The 16,878-nt window shown below is 46.5% G+C and overlaps 3 annotated features.

The window, feature by feature from the left end:
* Positions 7,205-8,342: an enhancer, noted in NCBI's record as "VISTA enhancer hs737". NCBI's record gives its function as "enhancer in: hindbrain (rhombencephalon)[9/11] | midbrain (mesencephalon)[11/11]" and the evidence as "EXISTENCE:transgenic organism evidence [ECO:0001131][PMID:17130149]".
* Positions 8,369-8,869: an enhancer, noted in NCBI's record as "H3K4me1 hESC enhancer chr10:130366341-130366841 (GRCh37/hg19 assembly coordinates)". NCBI's record gives its function as "activates a minimal SCP1, AML or CMV promoter by ChIP-STARR-seq in naive H9 embryonic stem cells {active_cell/tissue: H9 hESC(naive)}" and the evidence as "EXISTENCE:reporter gene assay evidence [ECO:0000049][PMID:30033119]".
* Positions 8,870-9,370: an enhancer, noted in NCBI's record as "H3K4me1 hESC enhancer chr10:130365840-130366340 (GRCh37/hg19 assembly coordinates)". NCBI's record gives its function as "activates a minimal SCP1, AML or CMV promoter by ChIP-STARR-seq in primed H9 embryonic stem cells {active_cell/tissue: H9 hESC(primed)}" and the evidence as "EXISTENCE:reporter gene assay evidence [ECO:0000049][PMID:30033119]".

Raw genomic sequence — 16,878 nt, 5'->3', positions numbered from 1 at the left:
AAAAGGAGATATTTTTATTCATCTTTTCAGGCCTACATTTCATTCATATCATAAAGATTATGTTCTGAATCCTGTTGTGAAGGGTTAAAAAAAAAAAAAAAAACAAACAAAAAAAAAAACAGGATGTCCTATAGCCGAGAGGTATTGTGGAAGGAAGAAGGCAGGGTCCGTCTTCCAGAGGAGGGTCCACAGATCACAGTGGCAGATTACAGAGTTGACATCCTCTCAGGTAAAGATGAGGCCATTTGGGGGAGAATTTTTATTTTTCATAATTACAGCAGGCCTTTCATTGAAAATGATCATTGACTCTCTACACTGACAACAGCTGTGTGAATAGACGGAGAAATGTTCGGAGCCTCCCTGAGCTGTAGTTTTCCTCTTTGAGCAGCGGAGATCAACGCCCTCCCCTTTCCAAAACTGCCAAAGTAGCAGCTGATCTGTGAAGGAAAAGGCCCGTTGGCTAATGAATTCGGAAAATGCAGGATTAAAGAAAAGTGTCCAGTCCCTTCCTAGGTCTTTACAGGGCTTTCCCAGGTTCCACGGGCCCCGTGGGTGGCTGAGAGCGAGCAGGGGTAGACGACTGCCACGCAGACTTCCTCAGACCACACCCTGAACTGGATGGAGCCTAGGTGAGAAGACTGCTTCTATGTGTCTAAAATTGGGGTGTCCGCTTGGAAAGATGTCAGAGGGCACTTCTCTGACCAGTGAAGTGGCGCCATTTTTATTGCCAGAAAGTGTTAAACAACCATCTCTCTACTGAGCCCTCTAGTAAATTTGCACTTGGTTTCTATCTGCTCCGAGCCTTCTGCTTCTCACGCTTCCCAGCTATGAAAGATGTGCTTTGGGGCAGAAGCTAAGATGTGATATGGATACTCAAAAATGTAACATCAGCAGCTGATAAAGCTTTCTGTGTTCTTCAGTGTGGCTGGTTAAGAAGAGATTCTGTTGGAAAGGAAGGAGTATTCATGATTCTGGAATAAATTATTCCAAAGCTGTGCTTATACTCAACTTAGTGACTCACCCTTATGCTAACTATGTGAGCAGAGGAGAAGGCATAGTCAAAATGCAGAGAAGAAGCCAAAGGGTGGGGGGAGAAATCAATGGAAAAAATACATAAACAAGAGAGTGGGGTGCCCCAGGAAAAGAACTCTAAGCTGTCTTGAAGAAAAGCTTTTTAAGTTACAAGTCATGTTATTTATACAAACATCATTTCCAAATGAGGAGTCCAATGTAGGTATCAAGGATTTTTTTATTTTTTTTGGTGGCTGTGTCCACTTGGGAGAATATTATCAAGAGCACCATGTCTAAGGTTCTATTTTAAAAATATAAATGTGCAATCCAAATGACACCCTGCTGTTCATTACAAAATAAATCACAGCCAGCTGCTGATTGGTACCCATATCAGGTCTGGCAAAACTTTACTCGAGACCTCGGGAAAAAAAAAAAAAGTTACTTATGCATTGATACAATTCTGTAGATAACGGTCACTTAAAGCCATTTCACGCCAACCTGAAAATTTCACTCTCTAGGAAAGGAGTTAATGAATGCTGGCATGAACATTCGAATTGGATGTAGGATGTATAGATTAATCCTCTAAAAATATAATCAAAACTAAACAGAAACTCCTAGAAGAGAGATGCATATTTCCTGACTATTCTTGACACAAAGAGATTTTGGAAAAATAGAACCTTTCACAAAGCAATTATTAGGCCAGGGCCATAACATTTTACTAACACGAATCCACAAGGTGACCCTGGAGATCGACAATAAAACAAAATTTTATAATGGGCTTAAATAGCCAGAAAGGTTTGGCATCCACGTTGCCTGGCCAAATAGATTGCTTTTTGTTGCTATGTCATCGTTTCAGGGAACTTGCCCTGCAGCATCTCAGCCCAAAACCTCCTTAAAGACCAAGCGGGTCTGAGTCTCCTCATCTAGAATTACATTCTTGATGGAGGAGATAACATGTGTATCTTTTCACGACTTTCTTGGTTTTCTCCTGGCTCCCTCAGGCCCCCTCCCGGTCTGTAAAATGGAGGTAAATTAAATAAATTATGAACTACCCAGGAACTGAAACGCTTTGCCAAATTGCTGTGCCAGCGTTCGGAGCCTGTGCCGTCCCGCCTCCCCGAGGTGGGCTGCCAGCCGCCTCTGTCTCTTACAGTTGCCCTTGCCACTTCAAAATGTGTCTGGAAACGGCTTTGCAGATGGCCTCGTATGTTTTACAGGAAATATTACTTAAACATTGAAAAGGATCATATTTCTCCTGTTAGGAATTACAAATCTGGATTTCATTTTCTTTCTTGCTTTTTTTTTTTCCTCCTCCAAACCCTGGGAAAAAAATGTAACTGTTATATATGACATGCAGGAAGCATTTGGGAATTTTTTTAATACACCCTAGCACTTGCTCATTGGCATGCTTTTCATGTATATTTACACACATGCATGTAAAATATATTTACATTTCATATATAAATACACACATACCCACAATCATGTTATTTCGTTTATAAGTAAACATAATTGCACAGGGGGAAGAAACTCATTTCGAAAATTTAGAGGACTGTTGCTTCTTTTTTTCTTCTTTTTTTTAAATCTTCTATAGCATAAGAAAAAAAATTATCATTCAGCTCACTTGGATAACTAAAACATGAACTGCTTCTCGTTCACTGACTTCCCTTTCTGCGTTTTATGTAGATTCATGAAGACCAGGGGCATTCCTATTGTTGGGAAAATGATTAGCATCAATAAACAAAATAGTAGTGATGATGTAAGTCTGACAGAAGCGGTCCTGCTCCCGGGCTCTTTCCACACTCTTGTGATCTTCAGATGGGAAGATGGTGAAATGAGCATTCCGCACAGAAGATCAGCCCCGCAGTCTTTCTTAAACGCCCACTTCCCAACATTTTAGAAAACACTCCTCCAGAAAGGAGGCCCGCTGAGTTCCAGTTCCGGCAACCGAGCCGCAGGAGCAAGGGAAGGCTGTGTGGCCTCCTGGAGGTGACAGAGGGGCCTCCAGAGGTCCCCAGCACCACCAGCTACTGCGGTAGACTCAGAGGGACCCAGACCAGGCTCCAGTTTGCATTTTAATATTTCTCACATGAACCCAGACTGGAAGAAAATGACCCAGCCAGACAGGGACATTGTCCCCCTTGTCACAGGGTCTGGAGGCTTCTCTAAATGCTGCTACACTCAATACGGCTGGGTCCTCTATGCCCAGCTGTAAATACTGTGCTACAGGAAGCCAGGGTCAATGTCAGATTTTTATTAGACTTGCAGCCATTCCCTGAAACTTCAAGTGCACAGGCTCCAACAATGCAGGCACCACACCGGGCTGAAGTCTGCAGTGTGTTCGCACCGCCTGGCTGCAGGGTTTTTTCCCTCCAGGTGGAAACACAGTAAACACGGCCCCATGCAGCAAGCCAGGGACGTTCTGGGCGTCCTAAGCTCCAGCCTCTTCTCCTGAGGGAGTCGGAAGCTCTTCTCTGGCCATAGCAGAGCCCTGCCTGGCCACTGTCCGCACCGCTGCCAGGCTCCACCGCTGCTCACCTCCAAGGCGCAGACGCCTCTCCAGCCATCTGGAACCGCCTCCCTATGTCTCCACCTCATTAATTCCCCATCTCATTTCATACTTCCTCGGAAAATGTCTCTTTTCTCCTCAGTCTCTCGTGCACCCTGGCCTGAAGTATCTGCTTCCCTTAGCAAGACCACCATCCTGGGAGGCCCCAGGGGATCCAAGGCCCCAGATACATGGGAGGCCAGAGCCTAGGAGCTGGCTTCCTAGGAGGGGAGAGCCTGGGCACCCCCGGTGCTGCTGCCCTGCCTGTCCCCTGCTCCCCTGGGCTTATTCGTGCCGAGAAGGGCAGGTAGTAGGAAGTGCGGGCCCCAGCACAGTATGGGCAGGGGCTGCAGCTCAGACCAGGGACTGTACGGGGAGGTAAGCAGCCCTGGGGCATGGGCTCAGCACTGGGGCAGCCCCTCGGAGCCCCTGACTCCATGCCCTGGTGAGAGACAGATGGCAATCCCAGTGACATTGCAGGGAAAGCTCCCCGAGGGCTGAGGCCACTCCAGTGCCAGCCCAGCTCTTTGTCTAGATGCCCTGACAACCGTCAGAAGGACCTGGGGGGCCAGGAAGGATGGGGTGCTGGGGGCAGGTGCAGTCATGGAGGGCCGGGGAAACTCCAGGAACTCAGCCCACTGGCAGGGTCCTTGCCTTGTCCTCCCCTGGCCAGTGGGCCACCTCTGTGGATGCCCATTTCATACCCCTCCCAGAGGGAAGCAGCACAGACGCTGAACTGGAAAGATGCTGTGGGGCCTGGGATATTCACTAGGGTTCTGCACGGGACAGACCAGCACTGTACTCAAACTGCAACGAGCTTTGCAACATCTAGAAGTGAGTCATTATCAGGGTTGAGATATTTGGGACTTCTTAAAATGAATCTAAAAGTATGGCAATGAACCCAAACCCTCAAGCACTCAATACTTTCAACATGCTGTTCGCACACAATAATGATAGATTTAAGGAAATGAGCCACGTCTGCAAAGTAACATGACCTATGCTAATTCAACCAACTCCTGGATAGGCAGCAATTGCAATTACATATATTTGTATATATCGATACATATATTTGGCACGTGCTGGACCCTAAATAGCTATTTCTTGAATGAATGAATAAAAGGACGGATGAATCCGTACCTGTGGCACTGCCAGGCTGGATTTCATGAGATGGTTTCACTGCTATATGTTACTTTTCTTCTTTGCATGACAAAGGCAAAGAGTCATTTGCTCCTTTTTCTTCTTCTGTTTTCTTGAACTTCTCTTTGAAACTTGCTTAGATGCTTTATTATAAGCTCATGACATTTTCATGAGATGAAAGTGGGGCCAGGCCAGGTTTATCCCAGAGTGATGCTCCGTTGGTTTGGGGGTATGGAGGAGTCTGGAAGTGAGGAAGTGCTCCGCTTGGTGGCCAGTGGCAGCCTGCACTTTATCAGCGGCCTCCTTGCTTGAGTGTGAAATTCCCCTCTAAGTGTTTATCTTGGGAAGAGAGAGCTGCAGCCCAGGGCAAGCTGGCCAGGAATGAGCCTTGCCCCAACTTCAGATCCCCTTGCTTTTTTCTGTACCATGACCTAAACTAATGCTGCTTCTGGAACTTAATTGTAAATCCAGAAAAGGGCAGCTGAGAAGGCAGGATGAGAATTACAGCCCAATCAGCAGTCAGGAGGCAGGGAGGGGTGTGGGCATCCTTTTAGGAAAGAGGCTTCTGATCTCAGAGAACCACACCCCTGTCATTAACTGTCCAGCCCCTAAGGGCCATTGCCATACAAATTTAGCGTCAACGCAGAGGATCTTCATAGCTGGAGTAGAATATTTCTATCCTTACAGCAGAATTTCCCCCAAATGGTGAAAACATCCCTGAGTGTTATTAAAAGTGAATACTTCCCAAGATCAGGAGAAAGAATCACCCGCAGCAACACTGACTCCACTAAACTGAACCCCACAGCATTCTCCCCAGAGAAGAGGAGCTTCCTGAGGCCTCTGAGTCTTTTCCTGGTAGTGCCCAGACTGTCATGTTAGTCTCTCATTATGTGAAGGGCACAAATTTTACACAAACCCGTAAAACTACCTTAGTCCTGTGTGGACATGGCCAGCAGGTGAGGTGGAGACAGAGATCAGAATAAGTGGAAACTCAGAATCAGAACCATCTAGAGGAAATGCAGCATGTGTTGCTGAGTGCCCGTGAAAGACCCGAGCCGAGTGCCAACCTTCAGGACCATTCCATGTGGCTCATTCTAGCAGGCACAACATCCTAGCTCCAAGGCCTGTGTCTGTAAGCACATGCTACCTCTACAGTTTCTAGCTGCAATTCTTCTTCATGGATCATGTCAGTGCATGCTGTGCCTCGTTCCAGGAATGGCAGGTGCCAGATATGGCAGGAGGACTTGTCTTTCCAGCATCCCTGAAATGTGCCCCATCTCCCAACCCCCCATGCCATCTTCACGAAGCATGACATAGCAAGCTCTTTGTTCAGTGGAGGCTCGGAGAGAAACCTGGCTGGGCCCCTCCCATGCTCCCGCATTTGGCAATAGGTGTTCCCCTGAGCAGGACTGCTCTGAGGAAGCTGGCTTTTCTCCCTGGGGCTCTCGTGTGTCCTCCCAATGGCACCGGCTTCGAGATTGCAGCTCTGTTCGGCTTTGGGCCCTTCGCCTCCAGTAGGTCTGAAGCTGTAAGCTATGAAGAAGAAATTCCTCCATCAGGACCGAAAACACATTGAGAGCATGGGCCAGTTCTGGGTCTTTTGCAAGTGACACATTCATGGGGTTTATCTAGACTCCTGGCTAACAGCACCCAAACTGGCAGTAGGGAAACTGTCAGCTGCCTGAAGACATTTCTGGCGGGTGCTGGCATGGGCATGTGCAGCTCTGGCCCAGCCCCCCAAAAGTCCAGGGAAAATGGCCCGTGGCAGCCAAAGCCACAGGATTATTTCCAGGAAAAACTCAGCGGGCTCCCAAGGCAGCATCAGGTTAGAATGTAGATAAAATTGGTCTGGGATGTTCACATTAAATGAAAACAGAACTTAAAAAAAAAATTAAAAATGGTATCATTCCATTTTACAAAAGCTTCCCTCCCCCAAAATGAACACAATTCATGGGCAATTTGGTCAACAACAGTGTTTCTCTGCCGTTGTTTGGATGGGAAAATTCCAAGATATAAGATAATTTATTGAAAAGAATGCAAACACTATCATTCACTGTAGAATGTTTATCTTTTGGAGAAAATCTATTTAAGCTTTATCATTTTTAGATCCTTCCCAAGCTCCCCAAATTCTTTTACATATGAAAAAATGCTCATCTTCCTCATTAATAATAACAGGATACAACTGCAGAATATTCTCTAATAATGATCATTAACTCCTCTGTGGTTTTTATCACTCTGATATTAATGTGACATTGGAATTAGCAGGGTTTTCAATTTTTAAATAAGCCAAACAAATTTGGGGAAATTTTTTTAAATCTAAGCAAGCATATTCAACATTGCAGGGGCAGAGGGGATGGGCAGGAGGGGAGGTGGCAGTCAGGTCAGGCAGGCGTCTTTGTCAGGCTTGTCTTTGTGCCTGCAACATGCTCCTGGCACCGGCTCCAGCAGGCCCGGCTGACTGCCTTGTGCCATGCCTACCTGAGGGACAGCGAGATGGCACAACCGTGGACATCTCACAAAAGGGGCACTGCCCCCCGCTCCTCCCCGACAGCCTGCCTCCTCTGTGCCCTGAAATTTTATTGTTCCTCCACAGAGCCCCCTCCTCCGGGCGTCCTGTGGAAGAATGCAGCCTGCACGGCCCCTCCCGCACTCAGCTATCTGCTTGGCACAGGCCACACTCAGCTGGGACTTCGCTAAGGATCTCGCTTTCCTGGGCAAACACAGCTTCACCTGCCCTCCAAATCCCTCTCTCCTCCTCCTTCCCCAGCCCTCCCAGCTGAGCTATGTTAATCAGGTGGGGGACACAAGGTAACATTGAAGTAATTCAGCCAATTAGGCCCTGAATTGTTTGCATCCAACAGCATTTTGTATTTCTGCAAATGTGTGAAATGCAAAATGTGCCCTCCAGCAAAAACGACAGCAGCCATGTACTGGCGGCGTGTCAACAGATCCTGGGAGCGGGCGGCCCTGACGGCTAATAGCGACGCATGCATATGCTTGGGAAGGCCAGCCTTCTTTATGTGTGCGCCTTTCTGCGAGGGAGGCAGAGCTGGGGGTCTTGGTGGCAGATGGGCAAGGGTAACAGGGATTGGCTAATCCCAGATCTGCATTCTCTTCTTCACGTAGCAACTGGGGAAAGATGGGGCCAGCTGTCAAATGGAAGACTTTCATGGTCCCCTGCACACAACAGCTGCACAGGCCCTGCCTGCTTGGTTCTAAATTATTAAACATCTTTTTAGTTTGTTCCAGCTGCAGGCATCAGTGTGTTTATGCAGCCTTTGTGCATTTTACATATGATTCCTTCTCCCCTCCTCTCATCAAAATGCTGTTTGTAAAAGTCATTATCCCATCTGTGCCCCAGTTTGGCCAAACAGCCTAAGACAAATCCGATGCCACTCTCCTTCCAGGACAATTTGGGAGTTGAAGATGATTGCTGTGACTTGAGACTTCAGGGGTTTGCCGCATTCTCTCTGCCACCTGTAAGAGGTGGTGTCATCTCAGCAGCTTCAGGGGACCGATGCATAATGGGGATCTCTGCAAGTAAGATTTCATTGTTGCGCACTTATGGCTTTAGAGAAAACACACACACAGAGAAAACCAAACACGGCCTCCACATCCGCGGAGATTTTCCAGCGCATTGTCATGGAGGAAGGGCAGCGGGCGAGTCTTCTTTCAATCGTGGCTCCCCGGCAGCTCCTGTCCCCGAACAGTTCAACCACAATCACACTGTTATGATTTGCCATTGACATGAATATTCACGAACAGGTATCAAGTGCGCTGCTCAAAGGGCTACCTTGGCAAGGAAGTCACTGTCGCCGGTCTCCTGGATGGGCCTAAGCTGTCTGGGAAGCGATAATGTCATAAACACGCCCCTGGCAGGACGGAGCCTGACCTGATGTGTTAATTATATTCCCGAACCCAAAAATGATTTGTTGGACCTGGTTGCTTCCTGCAGGATATTGCGGTGGCAGCCAGATTCCAGCACAAAATGAAAGTCACCAGCAACAGTTGCTTTGTTTGTAGCCAACATTAACTCTTTCATCCAAAGCACACGGTGCTCTCAGGGTAGAGGCAGGAAGCTCCGGGCAGACCTGCCCGCTCTGTCCCACCTCTCCCGAGCTGTCCAGGAGCCCAGAGCTACAGACACCAGTGTGCAGGTCTCCTAGCCCCTGGCCAAGGGCCACTCCTCCTTCTCTGGCTGGGTCTGGGTCCTCCCTGGCCCCTACCACGGCCGCCCTGTGGCTCCCTGGCACTGCTAGGTTGCCACTGGTTTATTTTTAATGTAACGGCACACGCTTCGAATGGGTTTTGTAATGGCATCTGAATAGTGTATTTCCCAGGGAGTTTCTATCAGTGATCACCCATCGCCCTTCCTCTCCTGCTAGATCCGGGTACAATTAGACAAGGGCTAAGTGTGGCTCTTCTGCCGGGCCAGTAGGTGGCTGTCCCAGAGCCTCGGAATTGCTGTCAGACACACTTCCAAACTGAGGAGAAGAGAGAGACCAGCCAGGCCCTGGAACCCTCCCAAATCCAGGCGATGCTTGCTTAAAAGGTGCCAGGAATGCTAGAGAAAGGCCAGATCGAAGGCCCTGTCTGCTCAGGGCCTGGAGGCAGCATGGTGGGGGCAAGGCTGACCACCAGCAAGGCAGGTGTTAAAGGCTACGTGATACCCACGGACATCAAACCAGAAGAATCTCAATTGCCAAGAGTCCCTTGCAATGCCATCTCTCCCTGTCTCCAGAAAACAACCAAACGGCCAAGGCCAATCAGACAAGACTGTGCTCATAGTCCCTTGGCAAAATCACTCTTTCCCTGGAAGAGAAGAAATGAATGCTTCATCAGGACACAACCTTTTAAAGTTTTCAGCTTTGTTTTTCTTATCCCAAAAGGCAGGGCTGCCCCTTTGGCCATTTTGAGGGACAGGGCTGTGCTTTCAAAGCAGTACCATGCAACCTTCACCAGTGGCTGTAAAATATCACTTAATGGGAATGAGTTTGCTCACAAATGTCTTAATGAAGTACTAAGCATTTATCGAACTTCGCTTACTTTAACTGCAGCCAGTAAAAGTCTCCAAGGACAATGAGGAAACCAAAATTTCCAGGGAATGTAAATTCCAGCTTCGGCTAATTTTGAGGACAATGATTTCTCTCCTTTATGAGGTGCATAATGAGGTAGCCCATAGCTTCAGCAGAGCAGGCTCTGAGCAGGCAGGGGCAGGGAGGGAGGCAGAGAGCAGGGGTGCTCCATCCCCAGGGCTGAGGAGCGCAGGAAGAGCCAGCTTCCCACCAGACAAATGACTCTTTTGTTTCACTCATTTTTAATTAGCCTCCTTTTTAATGACCTAAGTTAATAAGTGTCAAAAGGTGCAAAACACAGCTTGTCTTTATTTTTAAAGTAGGAATTTGTCTTTAATCTTGAAGGAAAGCCCTGCCCTGGGTGAGTCTCGCCTGCGGAGGAGGCAGTGACCGCTCTGGCCAGCGGTCCCCGGGCACCACACCTGCCGGGCACAGTGGGTCCCGAGGAGCTACTGGGATGGACCCGGGATCCCACCTCTTCCGGAAGCCACAAGGCACCCCAGCACAATCTCAGACAAGCTCCCACTGGGCCCAACCTCCCAGGAGCTCACTCTGCATTCCTCCTACTGCTCTGAATAGCATCCCTTGAAGCTGCCTGTCTTGTAATGGACAGCAGGTGAGGGCCAAGCGGGTGACAGGCTGTTTCACCCCAGGGGTCTGGGGAAGATGACACATGTGATTCACAGGTCACCAGGCAATAGGCAAGGTCCCACCCACAGGGCCAGCATCCAAGGCAGCTTTTCTTCCCTCTGCCGTTACCATCACTGCAGGCTCAGTGCTCGGTGCCTGCCGCTCATCTTCCTCTTCTTCCTCTGCTAGCCCCAACATGCAGGAGGAACCCAGAACCACGCAGAGTGAGGGAAGGGAAGGCAGAGGCTCTTCAGGCTTGGAGACTTTTCCTAGGGTGTGCTCCTGGAGGGAACTGTGGAGTGTGTGTGTGTCCACCTGTGTGTGAGTGCACACACAGGCATGTCCAGCTCTGGTTTCTGGTGGGCTCCTAAAGACACATGCTACTTGGCATACATTTAAACCCCACTCCACTGGGCTTCCGTGGCAGAAAGCTACAGAGAGGATGAGAAACCTCTCCTGTGAGTGACGGAGCCAGGATTCACTTTGCGGTTTCCTGGACTCGGATGCCACAGGTGTGGGAGAGGCAGGAGCTATTTCAGGCCGCCCAGAGCATCTTGGGCCAGATGGCTCACTGGGGAGGCAGCAGTATTACTTTTGTGGCATTTTATGGTGTAGATAAATATTCCCGCCAGGCCAGGCTCCAACCACAGCGCTCACATTTGTTTAGGATCAAACAGGGTGAATGAACAGGAGGTGAAGTGCTGATTCAAGGGTCTGTACCACCAAAGCCTTTGACTGAAAATGTAGCTCCCATCGACAAGCCCATATCCAGCACTGTGTCCCTTAATAAGATGAGCCAAACACTCATGGTGGACATGAGTCTCCGCAGCAGTTGTCCATCCCTCAGAGAGGTTCATGTGGAAACCTCCCGCTCACCAAGGCACCTGTCTGCGGAGCCCGGACAGAGTGGGTGAGCTGGCTCTGGGGATTGTTTGCAAAGACAGAACACAGGAGCAAGATTCTACCTCGCAAGACTCTCATAGAAACTCCCAAATTTTAAGATGTGTTGGACTCCACTCTATTTTACACTTGAAGGGTAAAAATGGGCAGAAGTTTTGAACGGCCCATGGGAACCCATTGTGATGGGTGTGTGGGTAGATATATTACCATACATTTATAAATACATTTACATAAATAAAACCAGGTTTGTGGCTTAGGTTTGTTGGTACAAGTAATTTCCATAAAAATTAATATTCCTAACTTTACTGGAACTAAATAATTAAGGAAGAAAGTATGTTACAATAATAAAATTATCAACAGACTTTTGACAAGCAGTCATGTGCTTGTAAATGAAATTTATTTAGGTGCCACTCAAAACATTGTAATTAAGAGGTACAGAATGCATTACCAGATGGTTCCTGTTTAGTGGCTATTTCCTTTAGAGAACACGGAGATTAGAATGAGCACTAACTAGCACCTAAAATACTCATCACCCCAAGCCCTTAAAACAGCACCCTGATCATGATGCTTCTGTGTATAGCATAACTGTCATGAAAAATTGGTTGCTAAACATGTGTATAATATAAATTTAAGTGACCACTAGTTAAAAATAAAAATGGGGAGCAAGAACCGTTGTGAGACTACCAGGGTTTTAGAGCTAGGATGTAGGAAATACATTAGGAAAATGAATTCTTTTATAGTAGTTGCTAAATTCTTTGACTACACCATGGTGTCACTGGACAGTTCAACTTAGTAAATCAGAGAGCAGGTGGCTAGTCAAGGCACTCTGTCAAGTCTTGGTGCCTTCATCCTAAGGACAGTTACTGTCTTATTTTCCAGGGATTACTCTTATAAAAGTGGTTATGTGCTCTTTGGGGTAGATCCTCAGAGGCATAAGATATTGGAGCTAGAAGGATCCAAACTCCTCATTGTACAGATAATGTCTCCAAGGCTCAGAGATGTTGAGTTAGCCAAGATCACACGGGGGTTGGGTGGTGTATGAGTCCGCTCCAACGTCACAGCAAAGCACCACAATCTGGGAGGCTTAAGCAACAGAATGTAAGTCTGTAGAGTCCTAGAGGCTAGAAAGCCAAGAGCAAGGTATTGGCAGTGTTGTTGGTTTCTTCTGAGGCCTCTCTCTTTGGCTTGTAGACAGCCATCTTGTCCCTGTGTCTTCACCTGGTGTCTCCTGTGTGGGTGTCCTAATCCCTCTTCTTATAAGGACACCAGTCAGATTGGATTAGTGTCCACCCTAATGACCTCCTTCAACCTCCATTACCTCTTTAAAGGCCCTATGTCTCCAAATACAGACAGTCCCCAACTTACAATGGTTTGCCTTTATGCTGGTGCAAAAGCGACATGCGTTCAGTAGCAACTATACCTCCGGTTTTGAATTTTGATCCTTTTCTGGGCTAGGGGTATGCAGTGAGATACTCTATCTCAATGCTGGGCAGCACCAGTGAGTCTCAGCTCCAGGGCAGCCATGCTGTCAGGAGCAGATGCAGCTGAAACTCTACAGTGGACTCTGTTGCCAGACAACCTGGCTCAACTGTAGCTGATGTACGTGTTCTATCACGTTGAAGGTGGCCCAGGCCAAGCTGTGATGCTCCATAGATTGGGTGGATTAATGCATTTTCCATTTATGATGTGTTTACTGGGATATGACCCTATCATAAGTTGAGGGGCATCTGCGCAGTCACATTCTGAGGTATTGAAGGTTTGAGCTTCAATGTATAAATTTTGGGGGAGAAACAGTTCGGCCCGTAATAGGTGACAATATTAGGCTCTTTGGGGCCACCTGATCTTTTGCTTTGTCTCCTACATCCTATAATTTAAGGACATCCAGAAGGCCCCCACCTCGAAAGATCTCTGTCAAACATTAGTTGCTCTTCCCTTGCAGCCAGGTCTTTGTAAACACACGTGTCTTTCGGAACAGAGCCCCAGGAGCCACTCATGACTAAATGAAGGCTTTCCCTGCACTGTGGTGAATGGGGTGGGATTTGGAGGCAGTAATCCAGAGGGAGTTTAGTGCTGCTGGGGGAGGGCACCAGCCTTACTGTCTGAGCAGTTGGAGGGCAGCCTGCTGAGTCCTGGAACAGCAGGTGTTAAGGGCTGGTGGTTGGGAGAGCAGCTCCCCTGGCGAGGCAGGAGGTGGCATCATATGCAGAGGAAGCCAACCTTTCCTACCCGCAACCACACTGCCCTTGAGCCCTTGTCTAGACTAAGCCTGGTTTGCTGTTGACTGGGAGTGATAATTCATGCATCTTCAATATCACCAAGAATAATCACCTAAAGCTAACATGTATTGAGTGCTTACTACATGCTAGATGTTATTCTAAGTCTTCATCTGTAGTAACTAATTTCATATTCACAATAACTTAGTGGGATAGGTAGGATTATTATTCCCATCTGACAGATGAAGAAATGGTGGCACAGAGAGATGAAGTGACTTGCCCAGATTCACGCAGCTTGGAAGCAGCAGTTCAGGAGTTTGAAACTAGATGACTGGCTTTCAAGACACACACTGTCCACCACCATGCTTGCCACTTTTCTGCAGCAGTAAAGATAGGAGGTGAATAAATTTTCAGCCACATGCTCTTAAAGATAGATTTATCTTGGTATCAAATGTCTTTGACACTCCTAATGATATGCTTGCAAAGCACATATGTGAAGACCTTGAAGCAGCTTACAGAGCAAAAAGCAACCTAACATTTGAGTCAAGAGCAGCAATGCAGGCACCTGGTTGGCACATTTAAAACTCACTACATTCTGCCTTCCTCTCTTCCCTCCCTCTTTCTTTCCTTTGCTCTTTCCTTCCTTCCTCTCTTCCTCCTCCTCTCTCTTTCCTCCCTCCCTCCTTCCCTCCCTTCCTTCCTTCCTTCTTTCCTTCCTTTCTTCTTTCCACCCTTCTCTCCTAGTTGTAAGGCAGCCAATACCAGCTGGGACCAATCTAGGAAGGAGTCCAAGTGGGGCAGCAGTCTTGCAAGGTCACGAAATTAACTGCAAAAAACCAGAATGGATCAAATAAGAAAATATACTAAGAATGATGGGAGCTAGGTTTTTTTTTTAAAAGAGACAATTATAAAAAGGAGGAAGTTAGAGTAAACCTTGAAGCTGGTTAAAACTGGAGGTATTTGATCTCGTAGATAGGTACAGCCATAAATACATTACCTGTGTGTGCTCATGTGCACACACTCATGTTTTCTAGTTCTGTTCACTGAGAGGGCTGGGAGCACCAACACTCCAGGAGCACTGAGCACACCTAGAACCAGATCTTGGTTTCTAAACACCATCCTCTGCTAAAAGGAACCTGGCCTTCTTGGGAAAATGGAGGATTGTGTTGAGAAAACAACAGGTTATTCTGGACCATCTATTAATGCCAGAAAATAAAAAACTTGCAGAATGAAGAAGGGTTAGGGGGTTACCAGATGGTTAGGGTTAGGTCAAAGGGGTAACTTTAAGTGCTCCTAAGGGCTAAATTTGAGACAATTTGAGCAGCAAAATAATTGTAATGGATTATAACCTATGGTATAGAATAGATACATAGAATTATAACTTATGGAATAAAAGAAGGACTCACTTACATAAATAAATAACTAAGAAGAAAAAAACTGCTCCTTACAGTTGAATACCAACAGATAAATATAGAAGAGATTATGGAAGTAGAAAATCACCATTTGGCAAACATCATAGTAATAATTCATGTAGGCAAGGGACATCAATGGATGCCAAAGCTAGTGGGTAAGAGGGCTAAGGAATCCTGTCTTACGTAGTGCCAAAATGTCAAAATGTCACCTCTCACCGTGCTCCTCCATGAGAAAGGCAGGGAGCGTAACTTTAGAAAGGAGAAACCAAGCAGGCACAACCTCAATCAAGTCACCCAAGGGGCCACCTTCGGAAACAGCACAAATTAATATCATGCACTACAGTGACAAGAACATAGCACCACTCCTGTGATATTCTGGCAGAATTATAAACTGCGGCTCTGTAAAACACTGATGAAACACACATTGAAGAAGACAGAATGACTGGACTGTAATCTCTGGAACTGTCAAGGTCACAGAGGACAAAGACCAAGCAACTGTTCAAGATTGACGGAGCCTAGGCAGGCATGAGCCTTGATCCTTTGGCACTAAAGAGTTCACTCAAGGAGAAACCTGAATGGGGTCTCTGGAAGGTGAATATGGGGAGTTCTTTGGGCTATTCTTGTAAACTTACTGTGTTTGAATTTATTTTTAACTAAAAGTTAAAAAAAAATCCTCCAAAATGTAGTTCTCTGGCATCTAGATCAGAGGTCCCCAGCCCCTGGGTACCAGTCAGTGGCCTGTTAGGAGCCAGGCCACACCACAGGAGGTGAGTGGCAGGTAAGCCAACAAAGCTTCCTCTGTATTTACCGCTGCTCCCTATTGCTCACATTACCACCTGAGCCCCACCTCCTGTGAGATCAGCAGCATGGTTCAATTCTCATAGGAGCAGGAGCCCTATTGTGAACTGCGCACGCAAGGGAGCTAGGCTGCCCACTCCTTATGAGAATCTAATGCCTGATGATCTGCCACTGTCTCCCATCATCCCCAGATGGGACTGTCTATTTGCAGGAAAACAAGCTCAGGGCTCCCTCTGATTCTACATGATGGTGAGTTGTATAATTATTTCATTGTATATTACAATGTAATAATAATAGAAAGAAAGCGCACAATAAATGCAATGCGCTGGAATCCTCCTGAAACCATCCCCTCCCTCCGCCATCTGGGGAAAAATTTGTCTTCCACGAAACTGGTCCCTGGTTCCAAAAAGGTTGGGGACCACTGATCTAGATGATGGAAATAAAGCATTAGCTAACCTCTCAAGAAGGGGTGGAAATGAGAAAGAAACATGTCTAATCACAAGGACCCAGGGGCTTAGGGAAAATAAACTTTTCAGATACAAAAGGAAGTGAAGTCATATTCTTTCTTACAGGGCTAATGGGAATACATATATCCTTTTTCAAAAGCATTTTGGTTGGATGTATTTTTAGACTTGGATTATTTTTCCCTTTGGCCCTACAGTTCCATTTCTGGGACACAGTCCTATGGAAATAATCTGAAATTTGGAAAACGGTGTATGTCCAAATAGATTCATTGCAAAGTTATTAATAAAAACAAAAGTTTGAAATCAGTCCAACTGTTCAACCTAGGAGAACAGACTCATAAACTTGGTATATCTACCCAGTAGATATACCGCAAACACAATGGCTATCTTTGCACTACCGCCGCAAACACAATGATGTTTCCTAGAATGATGCCTGGCCACTATAAACAATGTTTATAAAGAGTTTATGATGTGACAAAATTCTAGTATTTGTTTAAAAAGAAAAGTAACATAATCTTTTATTTAAATGATTCAATGCATACTGTGTATAAAAACGTGTCTTCTTTTTTAAAAATTCTAACCTTTACAAATTAATAAAAATGTAACGAGGAGCTCACCTATGAGTAAAACTATTAGTGACTTTTTTCTTTTCTGCCTATTTTTTGTACTTAAAAAAATGATAACATACAT

The sequence above is a fragment of the Homo sapiens genome, chromosome 10 (assembly GCF_000001405.40).
Source record: "Homo sapiens chromosome 10, GRCh38.p14 Primary Assembly".
NCBI classification, from domain to species: domain Eukaryota; kingdom Metazoa; phylum Chordata; class Mammalia; order Primates; family Hominidae; genus Homo; species Homo sapiens.
The sequence above is the reverse complement of the archived record's forward strand: the minus strand, read 5'-3'. Positions and strand labels throughout refer to the sequence as shown.